This window comes from Homo sapiens, chromosome 17 (genome assembly GCF_000001405.40).
Source record: "Homo sapiens chromosome 17, GRCh38.p14 Primary Assembly".
In the NCBI taxonomy this organism is placed as follows: domain Eukaryota; kingdom Metazoa; phylum Chordata; class Mammalia; order Primates; family Hominidae; genus Homo; species Homo sapiens.
In genome coordinates this window covers 56,197,014-56,220,605 of record NC_000017.11, presented here as the reverse complement: position 1 = coordinate 56,220,605, position 23,592 = coordinate 56,197,014, and the positions used below count along the sequence as shown (strand labels likewise).

The following is a 23,592-nucleotide window of genomic DNA, read 5'->3' as shown; positions in this document are numbered from 1 at the left end:
TCACTGCAGCCTCAACCTCCCTGGTCTAGGTGATTCTCCCACCTTGGCCTCCCAAGTAGCTGGGACTACAGACATGCCCCACCACACCCAGCTAATTTTTGTATTTTTTTTAATAAAGATGGGGCTTTGCCATGTTACCCAGGCTGGTCTTGAATTCCTATATTCAAGCCATCCACCTGCCAAGTTGGCCTCCCAAAGTGCTAAAATTACAGGCGTGAGCCACCGCATCCAGAAGCTATTTCTTTATAATAATGGGAGACTGGACTAGTACAATATTTAAATGTGTTTTGTTTTTGTTCCCATTGCATTAACATAGCTTCAGGGCTACTGTTTTATCATTTTATTATCTGCATTAATTAATTCAATATTTATGAATATCTCTTTTTCCAGGTATTGTATTAAGCATGAGAGTGATCAATAAGTGATGACCTCCCCCTTTGAGGGGCTTGCATTTCATTTGGGAGTGCCTTGTTGAATGCTTTCAAGCTTACACAGTTTTTCCATAGATCATCTCATGTAATTCTCACATCACCTTCGGAAGACAGAGAATAAGTTTACCAGCATACTAAGTTACTGGAGGAAACAAGAATCAGTGAGATTTAATGATCCTCTCCAAATCATGCTGCAAGTGATTTGAACTAGAATACAGATTTTCTGACTTCAATGTTACTGCATTTTAAGGTCATTTTGGATTTGAGCTTAATATTAAAAAGCCAAGGGCCTCCTAATACCTTTAATGAAACTGCTCTGACAGTTTGTACTGGTTTCAGTAGCCGCCATTGGAGCAGAAAATGACCCCAAATAACTCACAGTTGAGTTGTGGTCTTCTTAAAAAACAAAACACAAAACAACAGCAACAAATTCAAAACTGACTCCCAAAACAATAAAAAGATTTCCATGCCAATCCCAGATTAAGAAGCCAGACCAAGCATAAACCCTTATCTTCAGGATAGAGACACTAAGAAATTCACTTAAACATGGCATTCTCAGAAAGCATGTCAATATCATAAATTACATTCTATCTTGAATATTAAAATATTTTATCAAAACAATTATATTGATTGGCCACAGTGGCTCATGCCTGTAACTCCAGTACTTTGGGAGGCCAAGGTGGGTTCATCAACTAAGGTCAGGAGTTTGAGACCAGCCTGGCCAACATGGTAAAATCCCATCTCTACTAAAAATGCAAAAATTAGCCAGGCATGGTGGTGCACACCTGTAGTCCCAGCTACTTGGGAGGTTGAGGCAGGAGAATCACTTGCTCCCAGGAGGCGGAGGTTGCAGTGAGCTGAAATCACACCACTGAACTCCAGCCTGGGTGACGGAGTGAGACTCTGTATCAAAAAAAAAAATAAACAAACAAAAACAAATAATCAAAAAATGCACCTACTCTTTAACATAGGTGAATTATTAATAGTAATGAACTATATTGTCCTTTGTCCAATAATGTATTTATTTATCAAATATTTATCAGATATCTAAAATGTGTTCTAGGTATTGGATGTATAATGCTGATAAAAACACGGTGATTATTTTATTATTGAGGCATTTGTAGTCAGTCTATTGTATATGAGACCTATTAGAAAATGACTCTGCAATTACAGGGATGTGTGAAAAGTACTGTAATAGACCTATGCCTGGGGTACCTATAGGAGCAAAGGAAGTTCTTCCTAAATCAGATGAAGGCAAAATTTTCCAAAAAAAGATGATAATAGGTTTGCAGAAAAAATAAGTTAAATGTTCAAGTAAGTTTGGGAAACATTGGATCAAAGATCAAGAAATCTTTTTATGGCAGTCTTTTTTCAGAACTTGTAATATTCTAATATTGGGTATGAATTCCAGGGAGAGGGACTGTCACAAATTTATGTGATGAAAGTACCCTTTATTCCAAGGGAATTTGAGGGAAACACATGGTGAAGGATGGCTCTGGTGATCCAGAGACACTCTCCCAGAGCAGTGATGTTCATGGCAGAGCTGAGATTTCAAGATGATTAGGTGTTGGGCAAGAAGAAAAGGTGGAAAAGAGTATTCTTTGCTGAAAACAACATGTGTGAAGTCCCCGAGACAGGGCATGTGCTGAAGTACAAAGTAGCTCAAAAAAGTTAGACCAAAGAATTCCACATGGAAGAGTGAAAAGAGATGGGACAGAGACAAGCAAGAGTTAGATCATCTCAGCCAGGTAAAGGGTTGAACATTATTCTGAAAGCCAAGAAATGTATTTAAAATTTCCTAAAATAGGGAAGAAGTATGAATGGATTTGTACAGCATGGATTTATAAAGGTCAGCTTGGAAAAAGGAATAGTCAGAAGGAGTTATTTAATTAACCCAGATATTTGTGTTGAGGAACTGAATCAGAGGAGTAACATAGGGGAGGGAAGAGGGGAGGGAGGGAGGGTGGGGAAGAGAGAGAGAGAGAGAGAGAAGGGGCTAAGGAGAAACAGGTTGCGGGACCAGGTGATCTATTGGATGTGGATAGGGGATTAGGTGATGCCTGGAGAATGGGGTGGTTGATATGGTTAGCCACAGAAATGAGCAATATGAGAGAAGATTTTGTTGGAATCTAATGACTCACTAGGAGGTAGAATGCAGGTGAGAAAGGATGAAGTTCTAAGCTATAGCTGTGGCCAAAGTAGTTTTAGACACGTTGAATTTGTGGAGCCACTGGGACATGTAACTGTTGAGATCCTAGCAAGTAAATCTATTAGAGATAATAGTGCTAGAAATCTAGAAGTCACTAATTATTCTTCAGGGAACACAGACATCATTTAAAAGTTCTATACCCAAAACCCCTTAACTGGGGAAAGACAAGTACAAATTATTTTTAAACATAGTATGCTGAAAAAAATTATTATTCAAAAGCTAAACTGACTAGCTTCCTTTGCCTTTGAAGGGGAGATGAACTTACTCATAACAGTGGGAAAATAAATTTCTATATTGGTTTCTCAACCTTAGTACTATGGACATTTGGGGCCTGATTGATTCTGTGTTGTGGAGGCTGTTCTGTGCATTGTAGGATATTTGGCAGTGTCCATGGCCTCTATCTGCCACATGCCAGTATTATCCTCTTCGCCATTTGTGACAACAAAAATGTCACAAAACATTGTCAAATGTTGCTGGAGGGGCACAATTGCTGGGCCCTTCCTCCTCAATTAAGAACCACTGCTCTATGCATTCTGTTCAACACAATGCGGTGGAATTTTGAAGAACTCTGCTAACACTTTGGAGTCACTAAAAGTGAAACCATGAGGAAATGGTCTTTGACTTAGCAAATGCACAGTTGGTCTAGATCTTGAATTGGTGGTCTAGGAGCCAAATGCTGCTACAGAAGACAGTGAGAGGGATGAAATTCCTAAAGTCAGCTAGGGGGAGTTTGTTGAACAGTAGAGAGGTGAGATCTCTGGAGAAGAGAGGGCAGTGTGAAATTTTTGCTGGCTGGAAGGATGGAGGGAGGTCCTTTAATGACAGGGATGCTTCGTATTCAATCCTCAATTATTCACTGTTCTGTAGAGTAAGATTCCTCCCTTGTCCTAAAGTCCTGATGTGGGTGAGAGAATGTTATCTCCCAGGATTTTGCAGAGATTTTAAGTGTGGGGTTTAAGCTTATAAGCTTTGACTGCACCATTGTCATCTTCTCTTTCTTTTTATATTTTTCTTTTTCTTCCTTTTATTTCACATCCTACAATAGAAGCTTTCCTTGTTTGAGCATTATTTCTCTGACTAGAATTCCCAGTAAGCTTAATTATCCCATGGGTTGCTGAATTTGAGGTGTAGGAGGCCAGAAAGGCCCTTTAGGCTGATCTGGGCAGAGTTTCACCTAAAGAGCGGCATCATTAACAATGTGGGGTCCTCCACCTGAGGCTTTGCTTTACAGATAGGTAAACTGAGGCACAGAGGAGTGTGCCTTGTTTAAAAAATAGAAATTAGGTCTTTTGGCTCCCATTTTTATGCTTTTTCTAGCAGAGCACATCATCTATGGAAATCACCCTTCTCCGATTAACTGACATCAACATTTAGAAAGGTCTTTGATTTCTGCACTAGCCACTTCAATGTAATAACCCTGTTAGAATAAAAAGGCAGAGTAAGAGCTGTTTGACTGAAGACTCTCCAATGATGCCTTGAAGTTCCATTTATATTCAAATCTTTTCTACATGACATCATTATGATCCGACTCTGAATATTTTCAACTTTCAGACATTTCAAATCTCTAACTCCAAGTTGTCAGCTGACAATACAGACTCACAGAAATCTTTCATGTCTCGTAGGCTACTGTCCAAATGTTATAATTAAATAATAAATTTCCAAGGATTAGTTATTCCAATATCAAAGCAGTAGTTTTTGGCAAGGAATAAAGGATCCGCTTTCAAAACTGCTGTGGATAATATGAAAGCTGATCAATGAGCAGTGTTTACATATTTAGCTATCAATTTTAATAGAACATTTTCTTTGAGGCCACTTACAAAATATTATGAAGGCTTCATACATAAAATTTGGGGGAAAAAAGCCCCACTGAAGTTCTTTCTCACAAAAGGTGACCTCAATTGATGCTGCTCTAAAACCCTTCTAACAGGAGAGTAAATGGCTTGAATTCCTTATGAATCGGAGCATAAACTCAGGCAACTGTTTACTCATCTTTTTATCCTCCATGGTGTCTAGCATATTCAACATGTCATGGCTATTCAATAGAGTGCAGTGAGGTGAATGAACCTCTAGGCTTCTCCGGCAACACAATTCTGTCTGCCCAGCAGCCTCCCACCCACGCTGCCTCTGGCACCGATACCTGTGCCCGGGACCAGGTACTTCATTTGTGGGGCTCTGTGAAAAAATGAAAAAATGGTGCCCCATGTTATAAAATTATTAAGAATTTCAAGACAGTGACAGCAGAGCATTAAACTGAGCACAGGGTCCTGTGTGGCTTCACTGAGTGCAAGCCCATGGAGCTGGCCCTATCTGTGCCCAACTAGTTTTGCAGTTTTCTGATTCCTTCATCTACATGAATCGCACCTCCTCTGCCAAGTGAAAAACCTATGCTTGGGCTACCCTGAGCTCCTTCTTTCCTGTCTCAATCAGATTCTTTCTTCTCGGGCCCATGCCCCTCCATCTTCCTGTTCTTGTCCCTTTCATTGTGTTTTCTGGACCCCTATTCTAAGTTGAGAAAACTCACCTCTGTCTCAGCCTTCTCAGTGTGTCTGCTCACCTTATTGGTAATGGGCTTTCTCACACAATAACCCTGTAGGGTAGGTGCTATTCTCATCCCAATTTACAGATGAGGAAACTGGGTGTGGTGAAGGTCAGACAGAGAAGTTAAATACAATGCCCAAAGTCACAGCTGGTAAGCGATAGATTCTGGATCTGGACTCATGCAGTGTGGTGCTCTCACACTTAAGCACGGTGCTCTGCTGCTCCAGGATCATCCCCAGTCAGGGCTAAAGTACACAGCTTCCTTGTACAGAGCCCAAATTACTTGGCCACAAAAGATGACTCTATACCAGAGGCAGGAGTTTGGAGACGAGGATGATAGATAACCATAAGTGAACATAAGCATCATGCAGGAAATCTTCAGAGATATTGGAAAAGTGAGTGGATTTCCTCCAGTTATGTGGATGGGGACTTATTTATTTAACTTGGTTATGAAAGGAAAGGGTTACTGCCCCAAAAGCTAGAGGCCTTGGGGCAATTGGGTTATACATATCAGTACACATTGCTATACATCCTTATTTTTAATAGCTGTATATTATTTGTTTGCATGTTAGCCCATTTTTTTCCACAGAGGACAACAACAGCAGATAATGGAAACCATTAGGAGAAATAGACTCAAATGGGCTGAAGAGGACAAGTGGGTTAAATATTCCAGAGGTCTGAGAGAATGAGGGCTGACTAGTAGCCTTTGGGATTAGTGATGGAAAGGTCAGGGGAAATCTTAGAGAAAGATATTTTGCAGAGTTGAAGGAGTGGAAACCAGGTTAGAGAGAATGAGGAGTTAGTGGGACCTGCAGTTGAAGAAAGAATGACGGGGGAGACACTAGCATTCTTTTTCGCTAACCATGTATGTATGAGGCATATGCATTATCTAATTTGAATCTCCAAATCACCTGTGCAATAGGGAGCATCATCCCATTTTTTAATACAAGAAAGATGTAATCTCAGAGATGTAACTATCTCAGGCCACACTCCTGGCTTATCTATTTTCAAAACTTGCTTTTCCTACTCTTTGACAAATTTTGGCTTAGAAAGGCAGCAGCCCCTCTGCGAAGCTTTTCTTGATGTCCTCCACCCTCAAGCTTCACCATCTCAGACAGAGATCATCACTGTGTATCTTGGATGTATTCTTATTAACGCACATTTGGTTCCTCTAAACGTTTTCTACTAAAAGAGCTCTACAACAGAGGTGAGTTAAAGGCACATCCCTAGAGGTTTCAGGATATGACAAAGAGACCTCCCCACATTTTTGTGAAGTCTGATGTATTCTCTTAATAAATACAGGCTAATTGTGCTTCTGCTCCCAAATACATTCTAGTTTGTGTTAATACTAAAATGTTTTAAATTAATTGCCACTGAGGTCACTCAATCCATCTTTTATACCTACATCTGGAGTAAGAGACACCCTAGTTTTAAACTTTCTGCCATACTACTCTCTTGCTTCCTGGGGCACAAGAATGTCCATTTGGGATGTGTGGATATATGTTAAGAACAAGTCTTCAGGACTGTCCTCCCATCCTTTGCCTCCCTGGGCACAGTACGATCCCTAACATATGAAATGTTTAAGTGAACTGAAGTGAACTCAAAGGGATTTCAGCATATATTAAATAGCCATGTGCTTATTGCTTTAAGAACAGCTTTTGGGGTAAGAGTTATGTGGACTGAAATCCCAAATTACTTCATCCTCAATTTCCTTTGTAAACCAGAGATCATATTAGTCTTCCCCCAAGATTGTTAGAAAGTTGAAATGTGTTACTCTATGGGCAGCACTTAGGATGGCACCTGGTACATAGCAAAGCTTTCTTAAATCAGGGGAAAGGTGTAGATAGCTTAAATAGATAAGAGGGAGAAATGTTTCTCCTTCCTCCTGCCTCCCTCTGTTTTCCTTGAGGTGGAGGCTTCCACACTCCCACATATGAATGAGGGATGTGAAGTGAGAATGACTGACTTCTCTCTTCACCCTTTTACTTTCTCCTCTGTCTAGGAGGAGATTGTCTTACTAGACTGTGAAAAACCAGGCATCCAGCGTGGGCCATGTTTCTATAGGGGGTAGGCTTGTTGGTTACAGCCACCGCTCGTGTGCACAGAGACCGGGGTTCCTGTGTTAATGCTGCAAGTCAGGGGCCTGCTGTCTTGGGGCCAGCTTTTCAGCCTGTGACGGGATGGTTGAGTCACATTGCTCTGGTGCCAGCTCCAGCCTCTTCAATTCAGAGAAGGGTAGTTAGAAACCCTGGTCTGGCTTCTTTAGTCAAGCGTCCCAGCTGCTCTGTATGTTAAAGTTACTGGATACTCCCTGGCTATCAATAAAGTTGATACTTTGATACCATTTAGTGAAGAAGAGGGGGTGAAGGATTAGCATCTCAATCCTAATAAGTTAGTGCACTGCCTGGAATAAATACAAAGAACTTCAGATGTGAGGCTGCTGCTCTTGGTACAGCTATTGTGAACAGCTTTAGCATGAATGGGCAATGCCAGTCTTAGTTTCTGGCTTGCTTTGGTAGCAATGACTTGTAGTAAATGTGCTGCTGAGACCAACGTTGTGTTATTTGGACCAAGTAGCAAAAAAAACACCAGCTAAATTCCATGCAAGGTAAAGAACTAGAGCGAGTGGTTTGCGCCTTTGGGTGTAGTGCTAGGCACTGGAACTACTAGCTCAGCTGATCCAGCTTGGGTTCCTTTTTCTTTTGTATGGAGTTGCATAGGCTCAAGGAGGACTGCGGAAAAACTAACCTTCTCATTCATGTAGCCTGCCCACAGGCTCCTGGTCTCAAACTGGATTTCTTCATACAGCTTATTTCTTATCCTATTGGCACTATTCCAAAAGAGAGAAAGAGATAATCCTCCCTAAATTACTGTATGAAACCGGTATCACCCTAATATCAAAACCAGAAAATAACATAGCAAAAAGAGAAAACTACAGACCAATATCCCTGTTGAACATAAATGCAAAAATCCTCAACAAAATCCTAGCTAACAGAACCCCACAGCACATCAAAATGATAATCCACCATGATCAGGTAGGTTTCATACCAGGGATGCAGGGATGGTTTCACATCTGCAAGTCAATAAATGTGATACACCACACAAACAGAATTAAAAACAAAAAGTACATGGTGATCTCAATAGACACAGAAAAAGCATTTGACAAAATCCAGCATCTCTTTATAATTAAAACCCTCAGCAAAATCATCATAGAAGGGACATACCTTAAGGTAATAAAAGCCTTCTATGACAAACCCACAGCCAATATTATACTAAATGGGGAAAAATTGAAAGCATTCCCCCGAGAACTGGAACAAGACAAGGATGCCCACTCTCGCTGCTTCTATTCAACATAGTACTGAGGGAGTCAAACTGTCACTGTTTGCTGATGATATGATCATATACCTAGAAAACCCTAAAGACTCATCCAGAAAGCTCCTAGAACTGGTAAGTGAATTCAGAAAAGTTTCAGGATACAAAATTAATGTACACATATCAGTAGTTCTGCTATACACCAAGAGCGACCAAGCCGAGAATCAAATCAAGAACTCAACCCCTTTTATAATAGCTGCAAAAAAATTAAAATACTTAGAATTTACTTAACCAAGGAGGTGAAATACCTCTACAGGGAAAACTACAAAACACTGCAGCAAGAAATCATGGATGACACAAATGGAAACACATCACATGCTCATGGATTGGTAGAATCAATATTGTGAAAATAACCATACTGCCAAAAGCAATCTACAAATTTAATGCAATTCCCATCAAAATGCCACCATCGTTCTTCACAGAACTAGACAAATCAATCCTAAAATTCATATGGAACCAAAAAAAGCCTGCATAGCCAAAGCAAGACTAAACAAAAAGAACAAGTCTGGAGATATTACATTACCTGACTTCAAACTATAGTATAAAGCCATAGTCACCAAAACAGCATGGTATTGGTACAAAAAAAATAGGCATATAGACCAATGGAACAGAATTGAGAAGCCAGAAATAAAGCTAAATACTTACGTTCACCAGATCTTTGACAAAACAAACAAAAATATAAAGTAGGGAAAGGATACCCTATTCAACAAATGGTGCTGGGATAATTGGCAAGCCACATGTAGAAGAATGAAACTGGATCCTCATCTCTCACCCTATACAAAAATCAACTCAAGATGGATTAAAGACTAAAATCTAAGACCTGAAATCGTAAAAATTCTAGAAGACAACTTTGGAAAAACCCTTCTAGACATTGGCTTAGGCAAAGACTTCATAATCAAGAACCCAAAATCAAATGCAACAAAAACAAAGATAAATAGATGGGACCTAATTAAGCTAAAAAGCTTCTGCACAGCAAAAGAAATAATCAGCAGAGTAAACAGAAAACCCACAGAGTGGGATAAAATCTTTGCAATCTATACATCTGACAAAGTACTAATATCCAGAATCTATAAGTGATATGGTTTGGCTCTGTGTCCCCACCCAAATCTCATCTTGAATTGTAATCCCCATTATCACCATGTATCATAGGAGGGACCCGATGGGAGGTAATTGAATCAAGGGGGCGGTTTCCCCCATGCTGTTCTTGTGATGGTGAATTCTTATGAGATCTGATGGGTTTATAAGTGTCTGGCATTTCCCTTGCTGGCTCTCATTCTCTCTCCTGCTACCCTGTGAAGAGGTGCCTTCCGCCATGATTGTAGATTTCCTGAGGCCTCTCCAGACATGCAGAACTCTGAGTCAATTAACCTCTTTTCTTTATAAATTACCTAATCTCAGATATTTCTTCATAGCAGCATGAGAATGGACTAATACAACAAATAATTCAAACAAATCAGCAAGAAAAAAACAATCCTATCCAAAAGTGGGCTAAGGACATAAATCGACATTTGTCAAAAGAAGATATACAAATGGCCAACAAACATATGAAAAAAATGCTTAACATCATGAATTATCAGGGAAATGTAAATCAAAACCACAATGTGATACCACCCCACTTCTTCAAGAATGGCCATAATCAACAAATCAAAAAATAATAGATGTTGGCATGGATGTGGTGAAAAGGGAACACATTTACACTGTTGGTGGGAATGTAAATTAGTGCAATCACCATGGAAAAGTGTAGAGATTCCTTAAAGAACTAAAAGTCAATAAACCATCCCGATCCAGCAATCCCACTCCTAGGTATCTACCCAGAGGAAGTCATTATGCAAAAAAGATACTTGTACATGCATGTTTATAGCAGCACCATTCGCAATTGCAAAAATATAGAACAAGTCCAAATGTCCATCAGTCAACAAGTGGATAAAGAAAATGTGATGCATACATTATCTATCTATCTATCTATCTATCTATCTATCTATCTATCTATCTATGTATCTATCTATCTATCTATAATATACATATCATGGAATACTACTCAGTCATGAAAAGGAATGAATTAACGGCATTTGCAGCAACCTGGATGGAACTGGAGACCATTATTCTAAGTGAAGTAACTCAGGAATGGAAAACCAAACATTGTATATTCTCACTCATAAGTGGGGAGCTAAGCTATGAGGACACGAGGCATAAGAATGATACAATGGACTTTGGGCACTCAGGGGAAAAGGTGGGAGAGGGGTGAGGGATAAAAGACTACACATTGGGTACAGTGTACACTGCTTGGCTGATGGTGCACCAAAATCTCAGAAATCACCACTAAAGAACTTATTCATATAACCAAACACCACCTGTTCCCCAAAAGCCTATTGAAATAATAAAAAAAGTCACTCTCCTAAAAACAATACAGCTTATTTCTTATATAAGATATTATTTATTAAATGCATATCTGGTTATGACCTCTGATTTAGGAGACTCTGTTTCAGATAATGGTTAAAGAGAATTGGGGCTCCTGGTTTGTTATCTTCAGGCATTCAGCCAAGAAGTATATTTAAAAGGCTGTTTTCTTGACAATCTGTCTCTTTGACACTAGGGTAATTCCATTCTTCCTTAACCTTCTAAGTAAGTTTACCCTAGTGCTGTTATCCTATTGATATCCTATCATCAGGGATATTGATCTGTAGTTTTCTTTTTTTGTTAAATCCTTTCCTGGTTTTGGTATTTGGGTGATATTGGCTTCATAGAACAATTTATAAAGGATTTCCTCTTTCTCTATCTTTTGAAATAGTGTCAATAGGATAAGAGCACTAGGGTAAATTTGCTCAGAGAGGTAAGGAAGAATGGAATTGTTTAAACCACAGGCTTTGATCTTGTATTTAGAACACGAGCCGGTGGAAATGAAAGAAAAATGATGGAAGATGCTTTGATGAATGGAAGAAAAGGAGTTACTTCTTTAGGAAAAATGTTGTTATTTTAGAGACTAGGTTGGAGGATATAAACCTGAAAAGTTTTAAATGCTCTTAAAGTCATGTGCCTGTAGTCCCAGCTAACTCGGGAGGCCTAGGCAGGAGAATGGGTTGAATCCAGGAGGCGGAGGTTGCAGTTAGCTGAGATCGTGCTACTCTAGCCTGGTGACAGAGCGAGACTCTGTCTTAAAAAAAAATAATAATAATAATAAAATAAAAGAGGCATCATGACTGGTGCCTAAACATCCAACAAGCAAAGAAAGAAAAGAAAGGAGACCTCTGTCCCGAAAGATTGTCCAGATGTGGGGGACTACTAGGAGATGTACTCTTAAAGCTGCTGCATTGAGGAATAGGACAGCCACACTGAATAGGGATGTAAAATTTGTATTGGACTATAAAGGATGACCAGGAAGATCAGAGTGAAATTTTTCAGGGATTATTTCACTAGTGCCAAGATGACACAGCTATTATAGCAGTAAGGCAGGATCAGCGGATATCATGAGGAACTGCATGCAGGTAATCTTCTAATGGAAGGTTCAGGGAGAATGAGATAGACAGACTAAGGCACTGGCTTTACCCCTAGGAGATTTTGCACCTTATCCCCGGGGGACAGCTGCCAATGTCTGGAGACATTTTTTGATAATCAGGATTTTGAGGGGCAGGGAGGGGGTGAAGTTACTGCCTGCTAAAAATCCTATAATGCACATACAACAAAGAATTATCTAGTCCAAAACGTCAGTAGTGCTGAGATTGAGAAACCTTGTCTAACGGCCGGGTATGGTGGCTGATGCCTGTAATCCCAGCACTTTGGGAGGCCAAGGCAGGTGGATCACCTGAGGTCAGGAGTTTAAGACCAGCCTGGTGTTGGTCAGGTAACATGGTGAAACCCCATCTCTACTAAAAATATAAAAAATCAGCCAGGCTTGGCGGCATGTGCCTGTAGACTCAGCTATTCTGGAGGCTGAGGCAGGAGAATTGCTTGAGCCCGGGAGGTGGAGGTTGCAGCAAGCCAAAATCGCTCCACAGCACTCCAGTCTGGGTGCAGAGCAAGTGAGACTCTGTCTCAAATAAGAAAAAATAGAAATCTTGACTAAGGAAAGCCAGTCTGGGCTACAATATTTGGGTCCAGATGGAGTCAGATTTTGCGCTGATGGGTACAAGTATCCTGCTTGGAGAGTTAGACGTGGACAAGATTTGCTTAAACTATGGATATTTTGGCAGCTTCTGAAGTTACTGGCTTCACATCTATTATTAAGGAGGATCTAAAAGGACAAAATCTGGAATAGTGTCATGATGAAAACAAATGAATGGGGATGAAAAGCAAAGAGAAAGAGAAAGAAAAAGGAGAGAGGTGCTATGATCCAGCGAGGGTATTAGCACCATATATGGAAAAGGGAGGGAGCCAAATTAGGAAGAATATTACACCTTTACAAACAGCTGAGTTTGTCTGAAAAGAGTGGAGAATGAGAAGACAAATGAAACAGCAGAGGCATTTGCCACTGCAATAGGAATGAAGGTGGCAGAGATGAATGTTCTGGCTATCAATGAAGTAGCATAATTCAATCAAGGCCTGGAGATTTAAGGACCAAGGAAAGGAAAAGCACATGGTAGAGGATGGAATGCCTACCTAAGCAAGCCAGCTGCAGCTGCATCCGTAAGAGCTTCAGTTGGAAGATCTGTTGAGATAACTACACCAGCAGAGGAGGTGCATCACTCAAAGACATGACTACAGCAGTGGTTCTCAAACACAGTGTGCATTAGGATCACCTGAAGAGCTTGTCAAAATCCAGATTGCTGGGCCCCAGCTTCAGAGTATCTGATACAATAGGTCTGCAAGCAGTTTGAGAATCTGCTTTTCTAATGAACTCCCAGGTGATGCTGATGCTGCTGTTCAGGGGACACATTTTGAGAAGCACTAGTCTACAGAATTCCAGTGTAGGAAGCAAAGACAATAGATACTGCCTCCTGTGATTCTGCTGCAGATGGAGAAATATAAAAAGTAGAACAAGATTGAAACTCTGGGGAAGGCACAACCATGCACCTTGCTTAGACAGGGGCCTCTCCCTCTTGGGGCACTCTGCTCTGAGAGGTAGAGGATGCTGGGCTATTGTAAAAACCTACCCTTGATTGAGCATTGAGGAGGGGGCAACATGTAGGGCTCAAACCTGGAATGGAAATTAAAAACATTAAAATGTATAGCATAGAACTGAGTCACAAGAAGACCCAGAGACACAGGCCACCTTTGAAATTTCTTAACTTTGCAAGTAGAGAGGAGTGTCTCAAAGGCCAGTCTGGGAGAAAGGAAACAGGATGCATGGGCCCATCCCCATCTCTTGCCAAAGGATATGGGAAGCACGGGGATAGTATTAATTTCTTCATATCGCTTGGCACAAAATTTCTATGTTCAATTATTTATGCTCCCAGGTCACGAATGCTAGACCAGCATTCTTACGAAACTGAAACCAAAAACATTTTCTCTTTTTTCCAGGTGTTTCTGCCAACCCTTCTCACCCAGATAACACTGTGATCCATAGCTGATAACCACAGTGTGGGCCCGGTACTTTCCATCCCATTGTCTTCTTTGCCGTTCTTCATGCATATTTCCTACCAGCAGAAAGAGGGGGTTGAATAGTTAGATTCAGGCAACAAACTCCATCCTGTGCTTCTCAAATCTAGTAAGAGACTGCTCAACTAAACTGTATACATCCATCTACTAAGGGACTATCATGTAATCATGGGCCATGGGGAGGGGAGAACTTTATGAACAGTTGTAATTACTTGGAGGAAAAGCTCATGATATAATGGAAAATAAAGCAGAAGAAAATTGAATAGATAATAATATGACAATTACACGAAAACATAGCAAATAAAATACTATATACAGACAAAACTATAAATGGAAATACACTGAAATATATACTAGGGCTATTGGTAAGTGGTGGGCATTTTCTCCAAAATTTTTTATCATGAATTTAAATTTAATATATAATAGGAATAATAAACTTCATCAGCTTTAAGTATTTTAATGCAAATGTTAACATTATAAAGTCATGAGGATCTTTATTTCTCAAAGACAGGAAAAGCAGAAAAATAAATTTCAAAATGGCAGGGAAAATGTGGATGGAAGCATGCTTTGAGGTGATGAAGAGACTTGTGATCTGATAGAGGATGTATGAAGAGGAAAGGGTGATTACTTCTCCTGTAGGGGAGGGATTATTAACCAAGAGATTCTGACATTTCTTGATATTTCAGGACTAGTGTAGATTTGATGCACAATAAAAGATGTCAAGCAAAGCGGCCTAATATTGCTAACCAATTGCAGAAGTGTGAAAGAAATTTTAACACTCTATAGATATAATGAAAATCAACAAAGTTGAGAATGACTTAATGAATACCACATGGAAAAATAGAATGAATTGGCTATGAAAAAAAAATCAGAAATTTCTCCTTGAAGGGATGGCTATAGTATCACTTTTCGTTATAAATGAGGAATATAAACACACTGCCAAAAATACACATTGTCAAATGAATTCAAACAAAAATATTTTAGCTTTCTGTCAGTTGAGTAGAATAAGTTTAGGTTTTAATTTAAGTATCAAGAGAAAGGATCTAACGGCTTATGAGTAACTTTGCAGAGAGCAGGAGCAATAAAAATTGCAAACAGATGATATGTAAATAAATATTTGCATCAACTTTTATAAATATTTAGAAGTGCTGACAACTCCCAATTATTTTGTTTTAATTGGTTCACACAAAAACTAATTTTTGACAATTGTACCCGCTAATTAATACTTCAGTAGCTCAGCTAATGTCTTTGATCTGAAGAGTGCTTTGGGGAACAAGACTGGGTAGTCACCCCTTTGTACCACGGAGAAATAAACTCTTCATTCAGTCCTGAAATCACAGTGATTTGCAAGCCTCCTTCTGCAGCCAAGGAAATCTTGATTTAGGAGAATGGAGCCAAGAAGGGTATAATACAAAGTTTTTGTTTTGTTTTGTTTTGTTTTGTTTTTGAGACGGAGTCCCGCTCTGTCGCCCATGCTGGAGTTGCAGTGGTGCAGTCTTGGCTCACTGCTAGCTCCGCCTCCCGGGTTCACACCATTCCCCTGCCTCAGCCTCCCGAGTAGCTGGGACTACAGGCACCCGCCACCACGCCTGGCTAATTATTTTGTGTTTTTAGTAGAGACGGGGTTTCACCGTGTTAGCCAGGATGGTCTCGATCTCCTGACCTCGTGATCCGCCCACCTCGGCCTCACAAAGTGCTGGGATTACGGGCGTGAGCCACCGCGCCCAGCCAGTACAAAGTTTTTAAAACCAGTGGTGCTGGGATTACGGATGGGGAGGAGGTACAGGGGCAAAGCTCACAAAAAGGGTTTGACATTGATTTTGAAATGTCTATATTATGACAGTGGTTTCCAATCCGTAATGTATGATCATAAACAGTGCCTGAGCCAGGCACAGTGACTTGTGCCTGTAATCCCAGCACTTCGGGAGGCCGAGGTGGGCAGATCACTTGAGGTCAGTAGTTCGAGACCAACCTGGCCAACATGGCGAAACCCCAGCTCTACTAAAAACACAAAAATTAGCTGGGCGTGGTAGTGGGCGCCTGTAATCCCGGCTACTCTGGAGGCTGAGACAGGAGAATTACTTGAACCTAGGAGGCAGAAGTTGCAGTGAATTGAGATCATGCCACTTCACTCCAGCCTGGGCGACAGAGCAAAACTCTGTCTCAAAAATAAAAATAGGCTGGGCGTGGTGGCTCATGCCTGTAATCCCAGCACTTGGGAGGCCGAGGCGGGCAGATCACCTGAGATCAGAAGTTCGAGACGAACCTGGCCAACATGGTGAAACCCCAGGTATACTAAAAATACAAAAACTAGCCAGGTGTGGTGGCGGGCACCTGTAATCCCAGCTACTCAGGAGGCTGAGGCAGGAGGATCACTTGAACCCAGGAGACAGAGGTTGCGGTGAGCCGAGATCGTGCCATTGCACTTCAGCCTGAGCAACAGAGTGAGACTCTGTCTCTAAAAAATTAATTAATTAATTAATTTAATATAAACAAACAAACAAACAAACAGTGCCTGATTTCCTAAGGGGGACCATTAAGATATCATTTCAGGGAAAAAGCAGGCATAGTCTGAAAGTTTGCCCATTTCTTGCCCCTCTTCCTCCCAATTTATATCCCACTACGAGCTTCCTTTGCTAGTTATATCTTTTTTTAATAAAAATAGATGCCCCGGGCTAGATTATGCCTAACTTGTATTTTAAACCAATATCCAACTTTTATTGAGCCTCATAATAGTTACTTACATTCTTTGCCAACATTTCTGTCTCTCCAGCTTCTAGGTACACGGAGAGCTGACTTCCTGACTCGTTTGTACATGAATGAAATCACATGACTAGTTCTAGCCAATGAGTAAAGAGCAAACACGAAGAGCAGGAAGTTACTTCCTTGACAGCTCATTCATTTGCTGAGGCAAGACTCTGGAAACTGTTTGCCCTCTGGCATGGCAACCAGTCCGGCTCAAGATGGTGGGCATTCCCTCAGTCCCTGAGGTCATGTTTTAGGAAAATGAAGCTGAACACAGTATGATGGGCAGTTTGGAGACTGGCCACGGAGATCAAAGTCCTAGAGATCAGGAATGAATATTGAGGGCCTAGACTTGGCTAGGGCAGTCGGAAAAGCACCATGAGGGGAGCATCACCTGACGATGGATGTGAATGGGCACAGGAGATGGACGGGGAAAGGAGATGTCTTCATTATGTCCCTTATTAAAAGTGTGGGATGTGTGCACTACAATTTGAGGCACTGGGGATGAAAAGGCCTAAGATGTATGTATGTCCCGTGGAGATCTTAGATATTTAGGGAGACCTTCAGAATGATGATATATTCATAAAAATAAAAAATGTCCCTGGAAACTTACAGTAGATTACCTATATCATGGTATGAATTAAGAGAGAGAGTATTCATCAAAGTCTGAAATGGCCTGTGTGTATCCAAAGTCCATGTTCATCGTATCTTTTATTTATTTTCCTTCATAATAAAAGCAGAGCAGTTACAGAAAGTTTAGATACCACAGAAATCTAAAAAGACAACAGTGATAGTAACTCAAAATTCCCTGACCCCAAAATAATAAGGGTTATTTTAGCTAACATTTCTCATTAGTATTTTATGTGTGTATGCATGTGTATGTATTTTAAAAAAGTATAAATACAGTTTTGATTTTTTACTTTTTACAGTTGGATGATAATGAGCATTCTTTCGCATCATTATATTTTTTTCAAAACCTTTTTGAACAGTTCCAGAATATTCTAATATATGGACACTTCATGGTATCTACCCCCTATTATAAAGGACAATCTACAAATCCCTATACAAATCCATGTTCTTCCATTATGAATCACTTCATCTGAGCTGATGAAATCAAGGATATCTTCTTGGAGGAGGCAGAATATTTATTGGTCCCCAAAAGATGAATAGGTGAATGGTGAAAAGGGTGTGGAGGGGGGAAATGGAACAGGAAGAGCATGGGTGATGTATGGGCTTCTTTGGTTCATCATACATAGGTTAATTGGAGAGGAGAGTAGGGGCAGACTGGAAGGCTAGCAATGCTAGGATAAGAAGTTTCCTCAATATTCCACAAACTGTGGAGAACCTAAGAAGGCCCCCACTAGTGTCCTCTCTGTGCATACAAGTATTTTAGGAAGATTATGCTGGTAACCATACAAAAGCCACCCAGACTGGAGGCATGGAGATGAGTTAGGAAAGCCCTGCTCTAGGCTAGGCTGAGGAGGAGAAAGTCTTTGACTCTTACTAATCACTTAGGTACTAATTCAGTAACTCTTGGATGTGATACTATTGCTGATTATATAATTTACTCTGGGTACCATGAGGGTTAACTGTTTCTTTGAGCTCACATCCATTTCCAACTCTCCCGCTGCTCTGTTGTATATCAAGTGTAATCGCTTCCCAGGCTACTTTGCCTTCTGGCCTCTGGAAAAGGGTTGGAAAAGATTAAAGGACTGGATGAATGGGGAAGATAGGACATTTCTGCCCTTTGCACTTTGCCTCCAGAAGCATCTCTGGCAGAAGCAGTTTTTCCTCTGTGCTCTGGCTCCCATGGACATATCCTCCCACCATGGTCTCAGTGCCCACTGGATGGACCTAGTTTATTTCTTCTTCCAGTGCAGGGGTAGTGGTAGTTTTCTGCTATTGCTAATTTGCGAGTTGCCTTATGGTCTCCTATTTAGTTTTTCAGTGGTTTTACCCCTGTGAAAATACTTTATTAAATTTTCTGTGTTAAAAACGCTAGAGTAGTCTTTCCCCACTTGTGGCTGGTATGAATAAAACATTAAGTCACAACGATTACAGATATATAGAGAATTAGATATACTGAATAGCTAATTTTTTTTTTTTTCACAAATAACATTCGATCAGCTAAAGCACTCCTTAGTTCTTAACTCTTGTGGCAAATCTTTGTAAAAGGTATGAACACATTTTTCTATCTCATAAGTAATTTAATCAATAAGTATTTATTAAGGATACATTATATGTCAGACACTGTGCTGCTGGATTCTTATGGGGTTTACAGTTTATAGTTTTGTAAAGAAGATAGACATTAATCAAACAATCATATGAACAAGCATGGATATACAATGATAACAAGTGATTGTGAGGATATGGGCCACTATGACAGTGTACAATAAGGCAGTCTACTTACAGCTGAGAAAGGAGCGCTCAAACAAAGGTCTGCTGGATGAGTTGGTGTTAACTTGGAAAAGAGAGGAGGGAATAGTTTTCTAGGTAGAAGAACAGCGATGTAAAGGCTTGATGGTGGGAGGAACTATGGTGGGTTTGAGGAGGAGCATCCTGGCTAGAGAGAGAGTGCTTGAGAGGTATCCAGGACTGGGTGAGTTTCACTGAAGGCTGTTCATTTTATATTAAGAGCAATGAAAGGCAACAGTAATGGTGGGAAGGCTGCAATGTGTGTGACATGATGGGGTGGTCATTTAGAAAGGGTCACTCTTGAGGAGGCAAAGAGATTGGACTGTGAGGGCTCCACCATTAGAAGATGATTGCAGTAGTCCTACCCACTGGGGCTATTCTGGAGAGATGCAAGGAGAAATCTAGCATACCACAGAAATTAATCCTTTTATGCAATGCTTCAGAATCTTCTGATGACCTTGATCATCGCTATGACTAACTATTTTCATTAAATGAGACTGTAGCTATAGAGGATTGGGATGACTTCAGACTAATAGATTGCCTCTGCTTCATCAAAGAGGAATCAAGAGTAGATATCAAGCACTGGTTACTTGAGATGTTACTCTCTATATATCTATATGCCTATATCTTCTCAGGTAATCTGTACCTGATTATTATACTACAGTAACATGTACATATGTCAAAGCAGATTGGGACGCTGGTCTTGAAGACTGTACAGCCCAAGGGTGTCCAATGTTCTACAGAGTTCCTTAAGGGGCCACTCCGAAGGGCAAGAGGGAGTTGAGCTGGGGGACCTTGGACGTGCTGCATCTTCTTCAAATAGAATTGCTCTCTTTTATCTGCATTAGATGTTGAGGTTCTGTGTAATATTTCATTTCTAAGGACCTCACCGCTAAAACAATGCTTGATAACCACTCCTATTCCAATGGTCTTGTTTTATGGATGAAGCAACTAAAACCAGGAAGTTGAAGTGACTTGTGCATGGCCAAATAGCCAATTCATGGCAGAGTCAGAATTAGATTCTGGGTCTCTTGATTCCATTTCAGTGCTCATGGTTCTTTCTAATAATAAAACGATGAAGTGATATACTCACTTATCTTCTGAATTTAAATAAAATTCCACTTTTGAAAATTTTAAAAACTGGCTGTACTTTTCTCTTTTTCTTGGATTCTTTGGCAGTTAGTAAACTCATTCACACCTGTTTGTTCCTCTACTTAAGCCTCAAAACATTTTACAGTTTATGTGTTCCAGTAATACTCAAGAGTTGATGATCTGCTTGCCATCATTCATGCATTTTGAAAATTCATTTAACAACCAAATGCCTAGGATACATCAGCTGCCAGTAGCTTCGTAGGATATGAAGTAGCAAATGAACATATCATTATAGCAGAATATTAACAAAATGATAATAGACAAATGTGCATAGAGATGTGTGATCCCAGATGTGAACTTGGCTTAGGAACTGGAACTGGCACTAGGGTTGCCAGATTTACCAAAGAAAAACACAGGATTCCCAGTGAAATCTAAATTTCAGATAAACAACAAATAGGTTTTTAGTATAAATGTGTTCCAAAGATTGCATGGGACACATTTATACTAAAAGCGTATTTGTTGTTTATCGAAAATTCAGATTTCACTGGGTGTCCTCAATTTTATCTGGCGACCCTGCCTGGTACACCTCGACAGACTAGAGGATGAAGTTCATGGGGTGAGTGTTAGAAAAGGGAGCTCTTTTCCAAGACACAGAGAGATGCTGGAATGCACTAAGTGGAGTCAAATCAAATGCCAGGAAAAGGAGGATATTTAGGGGCTGGGCTGGGGAGAGAGAAACATCAAAGTTGGGAGATCAAAATTGATTTTGTGATTTCATATTGTTCTGGAAGTTCAGGCCAATGTAATGAAAACCAGAGCAGAAATGAAGAGCATGACCTTTGCGTATTGGAAAAGAGAAAAGAAAATCATTATTTTCAGAAAATATCTTCTTAAAAATCCCATAAGAATTGACTGAAAAAAATGTTGGAATAGAAGAGAGTTCAGTAAGGTCATAAAGTATGAAATAAACATTTAAAAGTCTGTGTCTTTTTTTTTTTTTTTTTGTAACAGCAATAACGAGCTAGAAAACGTAATGGGAAAAATTGTATTTGGATTATCAACAAAAAACATAAAGCAACTATAGGTAAACTACAAAACCACAAAATGTGCAGGACTTATAGGAAAAAATTTAGCAGAGACGTAAAAGCAGATGAAAAGATGGGGGCCATGCCATATTCTCATATGAGCAGAGCAAATATTGTAAAGACATAAATTTTCTCAAAATTTATTTTTTAGTATTAATGAAATTTCAACCAAGATCTCAGTGGAATATATCCAGAACTCCTAAATGATTCTAACATTTATCTGCAAGAACAAGTTACCAAGAAGAGCTAAATAATTATTAAGAAGAAGGATTAGAGAAGGTGGTAGCGATCCCTACCTGACATTAAAACATTCCCAAAGCTACATTCCTTACATCAGAGTTGTGTTTGGGAAGGAATAGGCAGGAAGACAACAGAATGGAGCTGAGAGCCCAGAAACAGACCCAGGTGTCTGAAACATCTCCTTACACAACATGGGAGAAAATACAGATCAGCGGGGAAGGAAAGGATCACCTAAGAAAAGGCGTTATAAATAGTTGAATATTGGGAGAAAAAATGGTAATTTTTACCTCATAGAAAACACTAATTTTCAGATACACTAAAGAGTGAAATGTGGAAATAAAACCAAAAAGAAGAAAATAAGGACAAATGTTTAGCTCAGGGGTCCCCAACCCCCAGGCTGCAGACTGGTACCTGTTGGTGGGTGGTCTATTAGGAATGGGGCCACACGGCAGGAGGTGAGCAGTGGGTGAGCAAGCAAAGCTTCATCTATTTATAGTCACTCCCCATCACTCATATTACTGCCTGAGCTCTTCCTCCTGTCACATCAGCAGCGGCATTAGATTCTCACAGGAGCGCCAACCCTACTGTGAACAGTGCATGTGAGAGATCGAGGTCATGAGGTGGAACAGTTTCATCCTGAAACTGTCCAATGGTTTGTAAAAGGGTAGTTTTAGTAAAACCTATTTTTATTATTCCCATATACGAGACCTCCCCACAATTCAGGTATTTTAACCTCTGTGCCTAGCACAATCAAATTCAGTGTTTCCTAACTTCTATGTTTTGTCTTCTCAGTCTCTGGAAACACAGTACAACTAAGTTCCACTGTAATCATCCTGAAACTGCTTCACCTCAGATCATCAGGCATTAGACTCTCATAAGGAATGTGCAACTTAGATCCCTCACATGCACAGTTCACATTAGGGTTGTTTTGTCTTTTCTGAGACAGTCTCCTTCTGTTGCCCAGGCTGGAGTGCAGTGGCACGATCATGGTTCACTGTAGCCTCGACCTCTTGGGCTCGACCACTCTTCCCACCTCAGCCTCCTGAGTAGCTGGAACTACAGGCACATATCACAGGCATCCTCTGCCTTCCCACACCCCTGTGCATGGAAAAATTGTCTTCCACGAAACTGGTCCCTGGTGCAAGAAAGGTTGGGGACTGCTGGTTTAGCTGATCTTTGGATGTAAATTATTTTCCACTTGGTTTAAAAGTCTTTGAAGGATATAAATCCAGGTAGTCAGAAGACAAAGTGTTTTTAAGGGGATTTGTCCTTTTCAGAGCATTTGCTAACTGAGGAGAGAGTTCCTGCAGTCAGCAGGTTAGTTAGAAGACCATTGGAATAATCATCCAGAGACGCCAGGAGCCTAACTAAAGTTTAGCAGTGAGGAAAATGCAGAAGAAAATGGAAACTAACAGCAGCCTCCCTAGGAATTTGCTGTGTGTACTATGTGTCTAGACACAAAGGAATACACTAGGGACACCTCCATCCGATGGTTTGTAAAAGGGTAGTTTTTAGTAAAACCTATTTTTATTATTCCCACATACAAGACCTCCCCACAATTCAGGTCTTTTAAACTCCACGCCTAGCATAATCAAATTCAGTGTTTCCTACTTTCTATGTTTTCTTTTCTCAGTCTCTGGAAACATGATATAACTAAGTTCCACTGTAATCGATAAAATATTGTACAGTGTGTGCAGAATCAGATAGGTCTGTGTTTTTATAAATGTACATTAGAGAGGGACAGGAATGGAACAGAACAAGGCTGACTTGTTCATGCTTTTTAATATAGATACGCTGTACTAAACAGCATGATATGTCATAAAATGAAACCTAATATTCGAAAATGAGATTGCAGCCTCTACATGTTTAAATGGTTTTCCTGGGAGACAAATCTTCTTTCATTTGAACAAGCACAAAAGTGTTTTTTATGAAG

The 23,592-nt window shown here is 40.2% G+C and overlaps 1 protein-coding gene across 9 annotated transcripts in view; it reads right to left on the bottom strand.

Moving 5' to 3' along the window:
• ANKFN1 (ankyrin repeat and fibronectin type III domain containing 1) overlaps window positions 1-23,592 on the bottom strand; it is a 470,940-nt gene that overhangs the window by 296,411 nt on the left and 150,937 nt on the right. For 2 of the 9 annotated variants that reach the window (XM_017024263.2, XM_017024265.3), the window contains exon 3: window positions 14,028-14,120. The exons of 6 other annotated variants lie outside the window; for them this stretch is intronic. In XM_017024263.2, coding sequence (XP_016879752.1) covers window positions 14,028-14,111 — 84 coding nt within the window. In that variant the 5' untranslated portion in view covers window positions 14,112-14,120. Of the gene's footprint in view, window positions 1-7,926; window positions 8,009-14,027; window positions 14,121-23,592 lie in introns of all 9 variants that reach the window. One more of the 9 variants, NM_001370326.1, reaches the window with a different exon arrangement.